The sequence below is a fragment of the Homo sapiens genome, chromosome 10 (assembly GCF_000001405.40).
Source record: "Homo sapiens chromosome 10, GRCh38.p14 Primary Assembly".
Taxonomy (NCBI): domain Eukaryota; kingdom Metazoa; phylum Chordata; class Mammalia; order Primates; family Hominidae; genus Homo; species Homo sapiens.
This window is the reverse complement of record NC_000010.11, coordinates 1,115,210-1,133,093: the sequence shown is the minus strand read 5'-3', so window position 1 is coordinate 1,133,093 and position 17,884 is coordinate 1,115,210. Positions and strand designations below refer to the sequence as shown.

Here is a 17,884-nt window from a genome sequence, read left to right as displayed (position 1 = left end):
CATGAACTTTTAAATTCACTGAAGATGTAACATTATGAAATTTAGACAATAATCGCAGGCTATTTAAGGAGGAAGGTGAGAAAGTTAAGTAACCAGTGGAGAAATGGTCTGCCTTTCTGGGTGTGAAGATACTCCCAGCGCCAATGCAGCTTAGGCAGTGGCCTCGCCAGCGTGAAGGAGCCACTATCTGCTCAAGCAAGAACCCTCCCAGACTCTCCACCTGCTGAGACCGCAGCAGCCTCAGCCTCAGCCACAGCCACGGCCTGGGCCTCAGCCTCAGCCTCAGCCACCACCACAGCCACAGCCCTGGTCTCAGCCTCGGCCACAGCCTCAACCAAAGCCTCCGCCCCAGCCTCAGCCTCAGCCCCAGCCTCAGCCCCAACCTAGGCCTCAGCCTCAGCCACAGCCACAGCACCAGTCCTGGTCTCAGCCTCGGCCTCAGCTTCAGCCATGGCCTCAGCCACAGCCTCAGCCTCCACGCGTGGGTCAGACATGGCCATGCACCAGGAGCCCCCAGGAGCCACTCCCAGTCTGGTTTGCATTCTCCCACAGAAAATGGCACCTACTTTCTGTAACTGTATTTTTTTTTAACTTTCAAACAAGCTTACTGCAATGAGAACGGTATGAGCATTTTATTATACTGAGGAACTTTACCAAAAATTATGTCAAACTGTTAACGCTTTTGGAAGTTTTCAGGCTCCTGATGAGGGATGAAGCAACATAATTATGTATTGTTTAATGTTAGCATAAGAGACAGACACAAAACACAACTGACTTTTTAAGTCTAAAAATTTTTCGAGTGACCAGTATTATATTTGTTCAATTTCTAGCTCATCGTGATGTTTATATAGTCATTCACAATGTTTCACCAAAGCAAAACATGAAAAACTATAAAAATAATAAGACTCCCAATAACACAAAGCTTTTATAATAGTAATTATGGAACATGGACATTTTAATGAATTTCATATTGCAATGAAGACAGTCAACACTTAGAGACAATTATATCGATACAATAAAAACTGATTCCATGGAACACTTATAAATGCATACATTTTCCTCCAAAGAAATATGTTTTTCACAGACTTAAGTAACAAATGATTTACATAGGATTCTTCAGATTCCAAAATATGTACAGAGTTTTTGTCTCTACAGAAACTGATGAGCAGTGGTTGAAAAAGAGTTGCTTTGCCCAACAGCATGGCTCTTATGAAATTCTGTATCATATACAGTTTTCAGTAACCACACATTTTCCGTCTATCATTAAATGAAATTCTGGACACATCAGCATACAGGACAAAACTGTTCCCACTTCCAAACACTGTTTCAGACGAGATCACGTGTGGTTGACAGTATGACTTAATTTAGCCACACACACGTGCACACACACACACACACACACACACACACCATCCCCGATCTTGTCTGTGACTCCTGATCACCACGCTGCAGCAGCAGTGGATGAGCTCACATTAGAAGACGACACAGCAGCGAACAGCAAGGTGCCCCGGCTCCTGAGAGCTCTGCCTGAGCACCACAGGGCTGCGCCCCCAAGGACATGCAGGAGTCCAGTTTCTGAGGTCCCTCCAGTTTGCCAGACAAGGTGAGCAGCTGTGGCAGTAAAGGGCACCAGTGTGCCTGGAACTCAGTGGCCACTAGGAATATTGACTTTTAAAAGCTTCAAAAATGTTTAATCTGGCAGAGATCTGGTTCTTAAGTTTGATTTGGCTATTTGCAGCCATTTTTCAATGTTCCTAACCATCATCCTAAGACACCCAGACTTTCAAATTAAACTCCGAGGAACCCAAGCAGGTGGCCTGTGCAGTGGCCCCAGAAGCTGCCCTGGGCTCAGACCTTTGTATGTGCAGTGTGGGAGGCTCTGGCAATTGGACCTCCAGCCAAGAGAAAAAGTGAGGCCCCAGCAACATCTGGACACAGCACAGCCCTGCATCAGGCAAGTTCGCTCAGGACAGCAGGAGCTGAAACCTGAGATTCTAATCAACCAGAGGGACCAGGTGGACTCCATTCTCAGAACAGTGCAGTCAGGAAATAATGTCGGACAAAAACACAACACATTTTTTATTTGTAAAATCAAAATGACTGAAATATTTGCTGTTTGTCCCTTAGCCACGTCAGATCCATCTGAGGTGGTTATGGGTTTTTCTTGGGCCCGGGGCTGTCAGTCATTTCAGGGTCATTCTAGATGACTTAGATTCGAAGCTCCTTGGACCAGCTCCTGAAGACCCAAGTAGGGAGGTGCCTCTCATCCCTGGCGAGCTGCACCAAAGGACGGGTCCAAAAGTCCCACGTCCTACTGCACCTGCACCTACCGGTCCCCAGATGGGTTCCCTCCTACCTCACCGTAAAACAGGGCAAAACACAAAGACCTGGGGATGTCACATGACAGCTGTAAATATTACCTTCCTGTGTCTCTCCAAGTGGTGAGCCTCCAGGTGGACGTATTGAAAGGACTGAATATACAAGACACAGGAAATGAGAGCCTCTTTATCAAAACTGTAACTCAGCAAGAAACATTAACGTACAGATACCAGGTGAGCAGTAATTTCCAAGAAGGCAAGAACACCAGGCTCACTCAGCAGTGGCGGGACTGGCACTGAGAGGCGTCCCCACCACAAGACCTGGAAGTGTCTCGTCACCGGGGCCTGCTGGCTGCAGCCGTCAGCTTGTGCGCCTAAGTGGAGAGCCTACACCTTCAGGACACGTCGGTGTGACTGTCTTTCCTGCCTTCTGAACTGAACTCAGTATTCCAGCTATAAACCAAAGTGCTCCAGCCAGGCAACAGTGAGACCCAAAGTTTCCCAAAGACCCGTCTCTGAGGTAGTGTTGTTGGCTCTCAAACACCACCACGGGAGTGAGCCCATTCGGAAGCACACAACCGAGGTGCGGAGAATTAACTGGGCTCTGTGTGCAGGCGGCCTCTTATCAAGGTCAAGTGACATTCAGTGGACAAGTCATTTGAAACATCTAAAACCTGTTTATAACCATAGCTATAAATTAAAGTGCTTTACATTTTGCTTAATATTTGAAATCAGTGATTAGAATCCTATTTCAAAATTTGCTAGCATGAGACCTCGGGAGACTGAAATGATTTTCTATAAAAAAGCAGAAAACTTTTCTTTCCTAAAGAAACTCCAAATGGTGCAAATCCAACATCCCATGCTTTTTTTTAACTTCTAAACTCCAGGTTACCTTTGCAGAACTGTAACAGAAATTAGAGTAGAAGCTGACTACACGACAGCACGTGCTGAACTTCACGCGAGGTAAACACAAAATCCTGGAGCAATCCTGCTGGTCGCCAGCCAACACAGGCAGCCCCACAGTCTTCCCAGCAAAGGCAGATACGTACAGTTACTCCAGGGAACGCAGGACTGCCGACGCCGCAACGTAATACAGAAGTTCACATTTAATTCACACAAATGTAATGCCCTACTGTTCACCTGTCCAATGTCAACAACTCACAAGCATTTCATGTGCTACATGGGAGGTGAGCTTTGCCTCTACTGCCCAGAGGACCCAATATACATACATATACAAGACAAAAGTAAAAAATACGACCACACATTTCTCTGTACATTTCATGCAAGCTGGGCACTATGTGAAAAGAACATATACAAAGCACCCTTTCCAGGGTCAAACTCTCACAAAAATGGCTGATTAATACGCAGAAAAGCCTGCACCCATCAAAGGTCTGTGCTGGCAAACAGTGAAACTAAGGGCTGCCGGTGTCCTTATTTTTCTTGTAGCAATGCAGGGATGTTGATGTTCCAACCAATGGCTTGCCGGTCAAACCCACAGGTGAACAGATTGCACACGGGGTGGTCTTCACTCCATGCCGAGCAGCATACCATTCTCCTGTGGCCCTAGTGATGATCAAACAAACCAAAATCAGTGCATTATTCCCGAAAGTAAGATTATAAGACCTCAGCGAAATGAATAACCACATCACTCAAAGTACGTAAGTTATAGGAAAACAACATGGTGTGCAGGATCAGTCCCATGGACCACCGAGCACGGACCACCAAGCATGGACCACAGATCATGGACCACCGTGCATGGGCCACAGATCATGGACCACCGTGCATGGGCCACAGATCATGGACTGCCGAGCACCAACCACCGCCGAGCACGGACCACCGAGCACCCCATGGACCATAGAGCATGGACCACCAAGCATGGACCACTGAGCAGGACCACCGAGCATGGACCGCCGAGCATGGACCACTGAGCAGGACCACCGAGCATGGACCGCCGAGCATGGACCGCCGAGCACGGCAGAGCCGCCAGGACGTGCAGCCAGGCCAGAATGAGTGATGCCGAGACACCAGTGAGCACGAGGGTTGGTGGAACCCGCCCAAAAGCACTGTATGAGTCCTTCTTTAAGAAAATGAGTAAGATTACAGTCAGACAAAAAAATAAATGATCAATGTGAAATTTTTGAATAAATGAAGCTAGGAGATATTTAGAGGTAAATTAAATGATATTCACTCAAAGACTTCAAATTGCATTTTAACAAATAACTGGCTTCAGTAATAATGGAACTACAAAAATACATTTGGTGTCATATAAAACAAGGATAAATAAATGGCCTTTTAGGTAGATTCCTGCCATCTTCAGCAATTCCAGTTAAATATCAGCATGCTGGAAAAGTTACTGCAAAATATGTGACAGAGCAATAGCATATCGGTGTGTATGTACATAGCAGATGCAGGCTCTTAGCCAACACTTAGAATATCTGTAAGCAGTGCCTTAGCACCCATCTGCATTTTCTAAACTACACAACAGCTCTGATACGTTGCTGTTACAGCATCAGGTACAAGAGTGAGTCAGTATTAAGTAAAGTTGACAGATTAAGAAACACTCAAAGAATGGCATAAAGTTCTCCTGAAAATATTCCCCCATAAATATGCTATTTATACATCTGGAGAGAGAACCACAATAGCTATTTATACATCTGGAAAGACATCCACAAAAGGCCAGAAAAATAAAATAATTATAAGAAAGACCACATAACAAAGGGTTACAAAAGGCACAAAAAAGGAAGCAGCAATGCATCCACTAACTGGAGGCAAAACCAAGGCTGTGGGCAAGAGCTCTGCACAGTGAAACTCAAGGCATTCGCTGCAGAAGTGCCAAAGAGCTTCCAGAAGAAAGCCAGCCAGGCTTTCACCTCCGGCAGAGCTCCCATGGGATTTCCATCTCTCATGCGCCCACAGCATTGCCACCCAGGAAGCAGATGCACCCGGAAGACGCCCCATGCCGTCATGAGCCCCAGTGCACGTGATGTGCTCCAGGACGCTCAGCACGGGGCCCCACGGGCCTCCACATCACAGGGACCCTCACACTCCGTGAGCCTCCACGTCACAGAGACCCTTGCGCAGGGACCCTCACGCCCAATGAGCCTGCTCTTCACAGGAACCCTGACCCCGGACCTCCTGACTCTCCACCAAGCTCGCTTTCCCAAAACTCATGCTGGGAAGTGACACCTACTCCAGCACTACAGGGAAATATTTTCAATCAGTCCCTTTCACTCCACTACTTAAAGGCTCAAATAAGTGTTTTGTTTTCTCTTTTTCAAGTCAGTCAGCTGAAGAAGTAAGGACAATATAAGTCAGTGATTTCCAGCAGGGTTCTGTGACACTGAAAACCACATTTATTTATCTGAAGAGGTGTTACAAGTTCTAAATAAAGTTAAATCACATTCATTAATCTTAAAAATAAATCTATTTCACATACCACTTTAGGAGGGAATAAACCCAGGCACAACAGAATCCTACAACATCAACAAAGTTGAATGTTCACAGATAACTGAAAATAAAACTGTCTACACAGAATTAAGGCCAAGAAGAACCATTCAGAATTCCGTTTTTCTGAGGGAAAATACTCTCAAAGTAATAAAGTCATAGTTCACAGTCATAAACAAATAGTTTTCATGAATTTGTGTTTCAAAATGCAAACTTTACATGCTGCACAGAAATTTTAAAATCCGCATGGGCACATTGAAAAGAGAACATTCTACTGTGTCTAAGATGCAGCTGTGAGGACACATGAGTGATGCTCAGCTGTTAACAAAACATGAAAAGCTTCCCCAGGACAAGCAATTTATGGCTGTGTTAAGGGTTGTGAAGCATATTTTAGTCACTCTAATTTCATGAAATTTTTCTACTCCACTATTTGGATGTGTATCGAGGAGTAAAAACTCAATAATTAACTTCAAACAGTGCACTCTCATGCCAGGAAGGGGACTGAAGAGACACCCGGTCTCAGGGAAGCTCATTTCCAGAAAGTCTGTGCTACCGGAAGAAAAGGTGTTGCTGCGCTGAGAGAACCCCCACTTTCGCACGTGCCTCCCTGACCACCCGGCCTGCCTGCAGGTTCTGAGGCTCACACCCCGTGCAGAGCAGCTGCGGCCCACGAGCCATGAGCTGGTGTCCACAGAAGGAGCCACAGAGGCACTGAGGGGGCCACCCAAGCTGCCGGCAGGCGTGTGGCCCTGTGCAGCCACAGGAGGCCTCGGGGAACAAATCCATTTACTCACACAGGTATCCAGACAGTACTCCAACAAAATCAAAAGAAGACAGGAAAGAGGGATCCTCTGGGGGGGCCTCCATTACGCACAAGGCTGGGCAGACGCTGCCTCGACCACGGGGAGTTTCTTTTTTTTTTTTCTGAGACACAGTCTCGCTCTGTCGCCCAGGCTGGAGTGCAGTGGCGCGATCTCAGCTCACTGCAAGCTCCGCCTCCTGGGTTCACGCCATTCTCCTGCCTCAGCCTCCCGAGTAGCTGGGACTACAGACGCCCGCCACCACGCCTGGCTGATTTTTTTGTATTTTTATTAGAGACAGGGTTTCACCGTGTTAGTCAGGATGGTCTCGATCTCCTGACCTCGTGATCTGCCCGCCTCAGCCTCCCAAAGTGCTACGATTACAGGCGTCAGCCACTGCGACCAGCCACTGACCCCGGGGAGTTTCTGTGCATCGCAGCTGACCCTGTGACCTCCCAGGGGAGAGCCAACAGCAAACGCCACCCACATTATAGTGAGGCCCGGCTGCAGAGCACAGCAGAGCCGCCAGGGAATCTGAACACGGGCCCCCAGGCCCCCTGGGCCTCTGCATCTGTGCGGGTGCCATGGAGTCTCGATTCTCTTTGCGCCTTCCAGGCAACCAGGACGGGTGGGCTGAACAGCACATAGCGAGAAACTCCCTCCGCCGTCTTCTGAAGTTAGCAAGGAGCAACCCTTCACTAACAAGAAACTAACATTTAAATATATTTCTTCCTGTCGCAACAGCCTGCCATAGAAACGTGTTCTTCTGGCTGGAGGTGGAAGAGGTCCCACCTTAAAGACCCCCAGCCTACAACCAACCCAGCTTCTGCCTGGCCACAATGCCCACTCAACACTTCCAATCTGCACAGACACAACTGCAGACATCTAAGACGGCTTCCCCACAGAGCCACCACCACTAACACGTGCACCAAAGAGCTCGTTCCGCATGCCTGTGAAACAGAGGAGCTGCATGTTTTCTTTATTTGTAAACTGAAAAGCCGATCATGGTATTAAGAACACTGGGCTGGGCACGGTGGCTCACGCCTGTAATCCTAGCACTTTGGGAGGCGGAGGAGGGCAGATCACCTGAGGTCAGGAGTTCAAGACCAGCCTGACTAACTAACCAGCCTGACTAACAAAATTAGCCAGGCGTGGTGGCGCATGCCTGTAATCTCAGCTACTCGGGAGATTGAGGCTGAGGCTGAGGCAGAAGAATTGCTTGAACCTGGGAGACAGAGGTTGCCGTGAGATCATGCCACTGCACTCCAGCCTGGGCAACAAGAGCAAAACTCTGTCTCAAAAAAAAAAAACACTGAAGTAGGTGTGGAATAACTTGAGTGTACAACTCTACTTCTTCAATTTTAAATTTTATGAACTCTAAATACAGCTCAAGCATTTCCAAGGAAAACTTAGCATGCAAAGACTTAGTAAGAAAATGAGAATGTAAAATATCTCTACCCGTCCTCCTCCACTGTGCCCTGCATATGTTCACCGACCGTGCTGTTACCTGTCGGCTGCTCCGGGGAAGCCGCGCCAGGCGCACTCCTGACATATCAAACAGTCTCACTTGTCGGTTGTCATGGGGGAGGGCTATGATTTTTTGGCCGACACATACATTGATCCTGCAAAGAAGAGGTAAAAGTGGGTTGTGCATGAAACAGTGACACTGTAAGTTTTTGAGTTGACAGATAATGAAGCAGGAGGTTCCATATTATTCACATTTCAAGGCCGACTACATGAACACACTGCGTGTACCACCTGCTTACGGTATTCAAAAGAGACCAAGTTACTCACACGTAGCTACAAGATCACACAGACCCCATGCACATACACACAATACACACACACACACACACACACACACACACACACACTGCTCAATGGTAGAACCAGACCCACCCAGACACAAGACCAATCCTCACAAGAAGTCAAGAGAAGCCCTGCATGTCTGCCACAAACGGGTCATTCTCATTCTCACAAATCTCACTGATCCAACCTGGTTTTAGGCTAAGTTAGTTTAAGTTTTCATGGAATACTGAAACTGCATTAGAGGACAAAGGAGCCTAAACCATTGTTCCCGGGGTTCTATCAATTAAACCTCCATGAATAAAACATGAAATCACAATCAATCCTTTCACATCAAACTAAGCCACTTACTTAACCAACAGTTTGACTTTACCTGTTAATGGCAGAGTCCGTGCGAATAGTTGCAATGGGGGATCTCATATTTTTCAAGTCCCAGACTTTCACCGTGCGGTCATCGCTGCCTGAAACCACGTTGTCTCCCACGGTGAACACGGCAGAAGTCACAGTGCTATGAACAAAGGGCACAGAGTCAGATGCAACAGCAGGTGCAGGACGTGACACCACACCCCACACACAACCCTGACCAAGTGGGTGGGAAGGAGGTCGGAGAAGCGCAAACTCACAGCTCTCTCCTCTGCAAACTGCTCCCGCCTCCCAAAGCCTCTCCACCAGTGCAAGAAAAGGACAACTGATTTCTTCCCAGTGGATCAGAAACACACAGTCCATTCTACTCTATTCCACATCTACAGGCAACGGAACGAAGAGAGGTTACAGAAAGTAGGGTTGGACAGAACATGCCCAAATGTCTACACATCTGGGTCTATGGCAGAGAATTTAAAAAATCCATTCCAACAACAACTGTCAATCAATGTAATCATAACATATCTTGGTCTATAGCAGAGAATTTAAAAGAAATCCATTCCAACAACAACTCTCAATCAATGTAATCATAACACAGGAGTTAAGAGAAAAACACTCTGACAACAATTCAAACACGGACAAAGGACTTGGATCAACATTTTCCCAAAGAAGATATACAAACAGCCAAGAAGCCCCACACACCAGAATTCACAGTAGCATTACTGACAACAGCCAAAGAGGTGCAAACAACCCACATGTCCATCAGCAGATGGATTTAATGCGGCGTGTACACACAATGGAATATTATTCAGTCGTAAAAAAAGAAACTCTAACACGTGCTATGACATGAATGAACTTTCAAGAATCCCCCTCATCTAAGATCCCTGGACTAGGCAAATTCAGAGAAACAGGAAGTAGAACAGAGGTTCTCGGGGTCTGGGGGATGGGCATGAATAGTTTCACAAGTGCAGAGTTTCCATTTGAGATAATGAAAAAGCATAGGAAATAGTGCTGGTGGTTGCACAACAATGTGAATTGATTTAATGCCACTGAAGTACACACATAAAAACAGTTAAAATAGTAAGTTTCATATTATGTATATTTAACCACAATCTTTATCTTAAAAAGTTTGAGGAGAAAAATTCAACATCACAACCACTCTTGGAACCTGCTTCTATAAATCCAAAATAATAATTAATAGTTTTCTTTTTAATTCAAATGTGTTGAAATATGTGGCCCTCAGGGAGAGGCTCGAGGAACCGAAGAGGCCCTGAAATGGCTAAGATGGGAGACCCACGCCCTAAAGATGAAAAGTACCATAAAAACAAGAAGAGAGGGGGAAGAAAGGTTTCATCAGTTTATGTTAAACTCTTTCATAAACTTTTCTTCTGAAATGTAAAAAAAAGTGTTTGACATGGTGCTAAGTATATTAAATAGTCTTACCCGTGGTAAAATCGGATTAAACATGTAAACAAAGGATGTTATCACTTGAATTGCACTGAGAATCACTGAAGAAACCCAGGCAAAATCTGCAGAGGAAATCATGTCCTCACCAGCTGAGGCTGTGCTGGCAGTGGCTGGGGTGATTACCTTAACCAGTGATCAAAGGAAAGTCTCTGGCACTTGCCAGAAGGTATTTAGAACTCAAATAATAAAATGACATTTGAAGAAGAAAATTCAATCACCTCTTTGCTCACTGGCAAAGTTCAGTAAAAAGAATGTGATAAAAACCTTACTTTCCCCGTGAGCTAAGGGCACACAATCCAGGCATGATCCACTGCTGTCTTCAGCAACGGCCAGGGGGCTGCGCGTCCTGCCTGGCTCAGGGCTGGGGTGGGTCCCCATGCTCGCCATGCAGCTGGGCATGAGTGGCCCACCCAGGAAGGCATGGTCTGACTTCAGGGCAGAGTGGGCAGATCCTGAGACGCAGGGGCAGTGCCTTCTCAGAGAGACACAGGCTTGACCCCTACACTGTCTCCCAGGGCACAAAAACTGGGGTCACTCACTCTGTACAGGGGCTCAAAACCCGCCTCACCCCGCACTGAAGCAGCTGAGATACCTACGAGATGATAAGCATGTGAATTTCCACCTATCCATGAAGGAAGTGTCCTCTTGTCGTCACAAATCACTAATTTAATGTGGACCAAAAGCTTGGTTTCCACATCTACCCTCATCGAGGTCCAGTCCATCAAAATTGCTTGGAACTCTGGAGTCCAGTTAAATGCCAGTTGTCCCAGCCACTGAAGCTGTACCGTGACATGGGATTTCATGCTCTATGCGGCCCTGGATGAGAGAAGCACCACGCAGTCACAAAGCCCATTTATGAAAATCCTCCTCATTTAGTGGACACCAGCTGAGTCCTAATTACGTCTAAGTTCCACTGCATTAAGACAAGGTTTTTAAAAATATAACATCAAAGTACAGCAAAGCTACTGAGAATCAAGGTGCGTCAACAACACCTGGCAACACGCTCTGACACCGAGACCCCGGAACACAGTCAGGATGATGCGGCGGCGACCGTTTTCACGTCTGCATTCTCAAAGGCCTGGTCGTGGTGCCCACAGCTGCGGTGTGGATTGCTGACACTTATTCCCCCGCTAGGACCTGATGTCTGGTCGGGGCCCTTCCCTGTGGTGCAGCATCCTGGCCTGTGGATGTAGCAGCCGCCCTGCCCAGGCACATTAGAAACTAGAGCAGACCCCTCCCCAGGGGTGACAACAAACACTGTCTCCTGGGGGGAAACTGCCCAACTGGAAACCACGGCATCACACGGGGCAGGACACAAGCAAACGCCCAGCCTGGGTAACGAGAGCAGCACGGGTTACGAGAGCAGCATGGGCAGAGGAGAGAGACTGCAAAATCAACCCAGTAACTCCTCCAGAGTCTTCATCTAAAAAAATAAAGAACAACATGAGAGCTTGACTATAAATCAGACGCTGCCACGCTTCAGTGAGAAGGTTACAATGAGGCTTAGAGGACTTCGGCTGCTGGGGGAGCCTGGAAGAATGAGAGGAGAGGTGCCCCCAACTTCTCTTTGAACTGGAGTCTTCAGGAGGTTTGGCCAAGTTAAGTTTCAGTGAACATTCTGCTAAATTAATAGGAAAAAAGGCTCAACAAAAGATCGCCTAACTCCATGTTAATGAAATGCTAAAAGACATTAGGTTTTTAATAAATCACAATCCTGACAAGTATTGTCGGACATCAAAAGAAAAAAGAACTGGCAAAGAGGCAGCAGTTTCCAAGGCACCCTCAGCCCACAGGTCCCATGGGGAGGCTGGCGCGCACGGCCGTGCACTGGAAATGGTTCCGACGCTGCCAAACTCCGGCAAACTCATTTATCTTGTCGTGTGGGGCAGCCGAGCGTGCTCCTCCAGCTGACAGTGCAGCACCTCCTCGCCGCACACCACTGCCTGGTCTGGAACATTCCGCTCCCTCCGCGGGTCTCCATCAGCGGAAACGCCGCGAAGCTGGCATCCTCATTAGGATGAACAGCTGTCTCCCAGTCACACAGAGACACAGAACCGCTTCTGCATAACAATCTGCCGAAATTTCACTAAGGAAAAGACGACACGATGTGGAAAACACTGGGCCACAAAGCGCTGATGGGAGTGCTTTTCCGGCACGACATCAAACACTGACGATCGTTTCCTTTCCTATTTTTAAAACGCAGCTTCCTCAAGGTAATGTGTTCACATCTGAGGAGCACGCCTGTGTGTCCACAGAGAGGGAGTCCTGTGGACGGCAGCCCCTTCCTTGGAACCCAGGCTTCTCAGTCAAGGTACCGAGAACAGATCTTTGAAAATGAACAGCTGTGAAACAGGCAGCACTGTGGCTTTATTACTTTATTACTTTGGCATGTCAACTGTTCTGTTACAGCGCTGATACAAAAGTACAACACCTGCGTCGCCAACAGTCCTGACTTTAAAACAGTGCCCTGAGTAAGTAACCAAAGGACACCCCAATAAGCCAGCCAGGACCCCCGGGTGCCCCTCGGAGGCGGCGCTTCATAGCGCAAGGGAAGACATGGGGTAGCTGTGTTGTGTTTGGAGTCATCAGAGCCCTTCCTGCAACTTCCAAGCTATCTGCATGAAATCCAACTCCTAACACATTAAACAGGTCTTCTCTTCACAGCCAGGCAGCCCAAATGCACACTCGGGGTCTCCGAAGCTCCATCCCGGCCTTTCTCATCACCCACGCCTTTTGGAATTCAAGAACTCACACAAGCATTCATTTGACGAACTCAGAGGACTGACCAAGAAACGGAGAAGTCACATTCAAATAAGACACATTTCTCAATACTCCTTGATGGCTACCTCCCCAAAAAGTGGACCCTTCAGATAAAAATCAATCAAAGCAAAAATCAAGTATGTATCACATGTGATTCTTTTTCAGAATTTCAAATTCAACTGTTCCCTGGAGAAGTCAGTTCTCCTAATGCATAGTTCTACCTCAGTAGTCTCATGGGGCCATGCTACTCTCCAAACCCCTCTCGGCAGAAATAATGAGAGATTTCCCAACTAAGTCACTGATAAGGGCTGCACTACAGAACTGTTCATGCAACAAATATTTATTAAGCACTGGCTGTGTGCAGGCCCCGCTCCTCGTCAGACAGTGTGCAGAAGAGGAGGAGGTAAAGTCACTCCAGTGACGCCTCCCTCCTCCCAGCGAAGGGGGCAAGTGACTGGCCACTTATAATATTATAAGGTCAGCAGTGTTAGGCGCACAACAGCACCCTAAGGCCTGGAAGTGCTGCCAACAGGCACCACAGCAAAGCTACAAGAAGCCTCTGCAACATCTGTGTTTACCATGGCCCACAGAGAAGGGCTTCTAAAGTGACTTCAGACTATGCTAAAGCCTCCCTAAGATTTGACTAACTGAATTAGTAAGAACCTTTCCACAGACTATTCAAAGAGAACATTTAGTTCAGTATAACCTGACCACCTCATCCGGCCAAAAATAAGATTCTAAAGATGAGATCCATGAGCTATGGGGGCACAGTGAGAACACTCTTCTGCTAGCTGAAGAGCTTCACCTTGGCTATGACACAAAGAAAGAAGACCCATTACAGAAACACTGACCTGTGGTGCCTGGACTCAGTAACAGCACTCAGCTCTGTGTTCTCTTGCTCTGCTCTGTCTCGTGTACTGATCTTATCATCCTAGAACGTCAAGGCTACCAAGGACAGAGACCGTTTCTCACAACCACTGCATCTGCAGGAGCCTGTACAGACGTATTTTCCAAATATATGCTCTTGACTTGTTTTGCAGCACGGCCTTCTGGTATACAGAAGAAATTCCTAACGCCGATGCACTCATGTTTTTTCTTCATAGGAATGGCCCTTAGTCTTTTATTCAGGGTTCATTTTCATTTCTACGTTATCAGTTTTAGAATGTTCAGGAGCAGTAAGTAAGAGAAATCAGTGGGATTGAGTGAGAAACAGCATTAGAAACCAGCACAAAAATGGCAAAAAGCAACAGCTGACTTCCAGAGAAGCTGAAACAAAACACTCAACAGAGACAAACAGTAACGCCCAGGCTGCGGGGCCATCAGGGCAGGGAGACAGCGTGGCAGTGCGTGCACACTCCTAAAGCACTGGTATGTCCCTCTCTTACACACACACACGAAATAGTCTTTTTTTTTACAAAGTGTTGGTTCTTGAGGGATCATTGGAGAAATCGCTTCTGTGGAACATCGTGCTCTCCAAAGATGGTGTTAAATGAAGTGTTTCTCTGCTCTGCTGCTGAGCACCAGAAACCCTGCAGCTCAGATGCCTGCAGGGACTTCATGCAGAGCTGGCTGAGGGTGGCTGAGTGCACGCAGCTCAGATGTGTGCAGGGACTTCAACCAGAGCTGGCTGAGGGTGGCTGAGTGCACGCAGCTCAGATGTGTGCAGGGACTTCAAACAGAGCTGGCTGAGGGTGGCTGAGTGCACGCAGCTCAGATGTGTGCAGGGACTTCAAACAGAGCTGGCTGAGGGTGGCTGAGTGCACGTGGCTCAGATGTGTGCAGGGACTTCAAGTAGGGCTGGCTGAGGGTGGCTGAGTGCACGCGGCTCAGATGTGTGCATGGACTTCAAACAGCTGGCTGAGGGTGGCTGAGTGCACCTGGCTCAGATGCGTGCAGGGACTTCAAACAGAGCTGGCTGAGGGTGGCTGAGTGCACACGGCTCAGATGTGTGCAGGGACTTCAAGTAGGGCTGGCTGAGGGTGGCTGAGTGCACGCGGCTCAGATGTGTGCATGGACTTCAAACAGCTGGCTGAGGGTGGCTGAGTGCACCTGGCTCAGATGCGTGCAGGGACTTCAAACAGAGCTGGCTGAGGGTGGCTGAGTGCACACGGCTCAGATGTGTGCAGGGACTTCAAGTAGGGCTGGCTGAGGGTGGCTGAGTGCACGCGGCTCAGATGTGTGCAGGGACTTCAAACAGAGCTGGTTGAGGGTGGCTGAGTGCACGCGGCTCAGATGCGTGCAGGGACTTCAAACAGAGCTGGCTGAGGGTGGCTGAGTGCACGCAGCGCAGATGCTGATAAGAGGCTGCCAGGCGACCCTCACATGCCACCCGGGCCCTGGCTCTGCAGTGGCCATGCACACAGCATGGTCACCACCATCTTTTCCAAACGTCAGCTGACGCTTTAGGCAGCCACCCCTCCCCATGCTGCCCGCTCTGCGTATCATGCTGGTTTCTGCTGACTTGTGGACTCAGACACCCCCACCTGTCTCCGGAGTCTGTCCTGAAGTACCTCACAGTTAGGAAGTTTTGAGTATGTGTCAATAGCCTGATGGCTGTCTTACAGTCATCTCAAAGAAAAGTGACAGAATCTGACAGGCCGAAACAAAGCTGTCCAGTAGAGCGATTCAAACGCAATCATTTCCTTAAGTCCTTATTTATGAGTTCCTGAGTAGCCCTTCTTAAATGAGGAACTTTAAAAGGGTAAAACAGAGATACACTAAATCTCCTCTCACTTTTAAAAACAATATTCTAACTTGGAAGCGACTTTAAAATGCATCAATAGGCAGCCAGGCTCAGTGGGTCATGCCTGTAATCCCAGCACTTTGGAGGCTGAGGCAAGAGGATCACTTGCGGCCAAGATTTCGAGAGCAGCCTAAGCAACATGGTGAGACTCCATCTCTACAAAAAATACAAACATTAGCAGGGAGTGGTGGCACAGCCCTGTAGTCCCTGCTACTCAGGAGGGTGAGGTGGGAGGATCACTTGAGCCCAGGAAGTCGAGATTGCAGTGAGCCGTGATCATGCCACTGCAGTCCAGCCTAGGCGAGAGGGTGACGCCCTGTCTCAAAAAAATAAACCAATAAAAATTTAAAAACATGCATCAACAAGGGACTGGCTCAGGAAGTTACTGTTAGGTTCATATCACAGGACACTGAGAGAGGAGGATGGAACGGCAGCTCTGCAGGTGGTGGCACGGACAGCGCTGCTCTGCTGGTAAGAGACAAGGATTCTCCTTTGCACAGAAAGAACCACTGGGCCTAGGTGTGCCCAGCTGCACACTGTATCTGCTAACGTCTCCTTGGCAGTTTCTGTGGTCACAAGACAAAACATTCACTAACTAATACAAAGGAAACACCCAAGACCACCCCTGAACATGACTGCTGCAGTGAGGTTCTGTTCCCGCCAACTGCTGCCCACTACAGTTCTCTGGAATCTGCACCATACTCAGGCCAACCAGCAAAGCTCCGAAAAGCTGTCACGGGCGACAGATGGAGTCCTTAGTGACCCTAGCCTGGGTTTTATGATAACCTTGGATATCAGCCAGTTATTATTAAGAGTTGTATTTATATAAATCTATACACTTCCTAAAAATAAAATCACCTTTATTAATTTATGCAGCAACATGGATAGAACTGGGGGCCATTATCTTAAGTGAAACAATGCAAACACTGAAAGACAAAGAGCGTGTGTCCTCCTTGGCAAGTGGGAGCAAAACTACGTGCACACAGGGACAGCGGAGGACTGACAGACAGGGTGGAGACCCAGGGTGAGGTGGGTGACGGGAGGACTGAGAGACAGAACAGAGACCCGGGGAGGGGTGGGTGACGGGAGGACTGAGAGACATGGCAGAGACCCGGGGCGGGGTGGGTGATGGACAGGGCAGAGATGACCCAGGGCAGGGGGGATGACGGGAGGACTGATGGACAGGGCAGAGACAACCCAGGGTGGGGTGGATACAAGACTGATGGACAGAGTGGAGACCTGGGGCGGGGTGGATGACGGGAGGTTGCCTGGTGCGTGCAACGAGCATCACTCCAATGAGGGGTATGCTGAAGGCCCTGGCCTCACCTGAGTGGAGTACATCAAGGTAGCAAAACTGCACTCACACCCCATGAATACATACAACATTTTGTTAAAGTACTCTAATGTAATCTAATTAAAAAGACAACCACCAAGCTTTCAGGCATATGGGTAGGGGATGTAACACTGAGAGGAGACACAGGTGTGCTTCCAAGGCCCCACAGCCTGCAGGCCGTCCTCATCTCCATGTCACTTCCGCCCCAGAGGCCCTTCCACAGGGCCCTGCTGTCTGCAAAGTCACCACCTGGTAGATGGCTGGCTCTCCACCTTCCCCACAGACAAGGACTCAAAAGCCATCACCAAAAAGAAAGCAGATCTGAAAGTGGAAAGCAAACTGATTTAGAGACCACATGCGTCCTTTCCAACACGCACCTCCCAGGCGGCCAGCTGGCCGGACAGCACCCAGAGGCCCACACCCAAGCTGACACCTGCATGCTGACTGTGACCAAGCACAAAGTTCAGGTGCAATTAAAACTGCCCATCATCCAGTTAAAAATGTCGATTTCCAAACATCTTTTCCCTTTAAAAGCATAAGGAAAACTGTTAACACCATGACACAAGCTGCAAAACTGTGTTTACCTTTCTGAGCACATGATCTAGAACTCAGTGTTTAGTACCAAATCTCTCCCCCAGGTGTTTGGAAATAAAAGCACACAAACATGTCATCACTTCAAAGTGATCATTATAATTTCTCAACTGATCTTTTAAAATTTTGTTTGGTTAGATGTGTGTTTTGTTTTCTTTAGAAGAAAGCACCAAAGACCACATTTTGGGAATAAAGTTAAAATCGTTTGCAAAGAATTAAAAAGGAAGAAAACAAAAAACTTTGCATCCTCAAATATTGCATC

The 17,884-nt window shown here is 47.9% G+C and overlaps 1 protein-coding gene across 1 annotated transcript in view, besides 3 other annotated features; it reads right to left on the bottom strand.

Annotated features, from left to right (window-relative positions):
* Positions 1 to 721: 721 nt before the first annotated feature.
* WDR37 (WD repeat domain 37) overlaps positions 722 to 17,884 on the bottom strand; it is a 75,988-nt gene continuing 58,825 nt past the window's right edge. Inside the window, exons 12-14 of the mRNA NM_014023.4 lie at positions 8,742 to 8,876; positions 8,070 to 8,184; positions 722 to 3,881 (exon numbers count right to left, since the gene is read on the bottom strand). Of these exons, the coding sequence (NP_054742.2) occupies positions 3,750 to 3,881; positions 8,070 to 8,184; positions 8,742 to 8,876 (382 nt within the window). The 3' untranslated portion in view covers positions 722 to 3,749. The remainder of the gene's footprint in view (positions 3,882 to 8,069; positions 8,185 to 8,741; positions 8,877 to 17,884) is intronic.
* Positions 11,292 to 11,932: an enhancer, noted in NCBI's record as "H3K27ac-H3K4me1 hESC enhancer chr10:1167102-1167742 (GRCh37/hg19 assembly coordinates)". NCBI's record gives its function as "activates a minimal SCP1, AML or CMV promoter by ChIP-STARR-seq in naive H9 embryonic stem cells {active_cell/tissue: H9 hESC(naive)}" and the evidence as "EXISTENCE:reporter gene assay evidence [ECO:0000049][PMID:30033119]".
* Positions 11,933 to 12,574: an enhancer, noted in NCBI's record as "H3K4me1 hESC enhancer chr10:1166460-1167101 (GRCh37/hg19 assembly coordinates)". NCBI's record gives its function as "activates a minimal SCP1, AML or CMV promoter by ChIP-STARR-seq in naive H9 embryonic stem cells {active_cell/tissue: H9 hESC(naive)}" and the evidence as "EXISTENCE:reporter gene assay evidence [ECO:0000049][PMID:30033119]".
* Positions 15,104 to 15,605: an enhancer, noted in NCBI's record as "H3K4me1 hESC enhancer chr10:1163429-1163930 (GRCh37/hg19 assembly coordinates)". NCBI's record gives its function as "activates a minimal SCP1, AML or CMV promoter by ChIP-STARR-seq in naive H9 embryonic stem cells {active_cell/tissue: H9 hESC(naive)}" and the evidence as "EXISTENCE:reporter gene assay evidence [ECO:0000049][PMID:30033119]".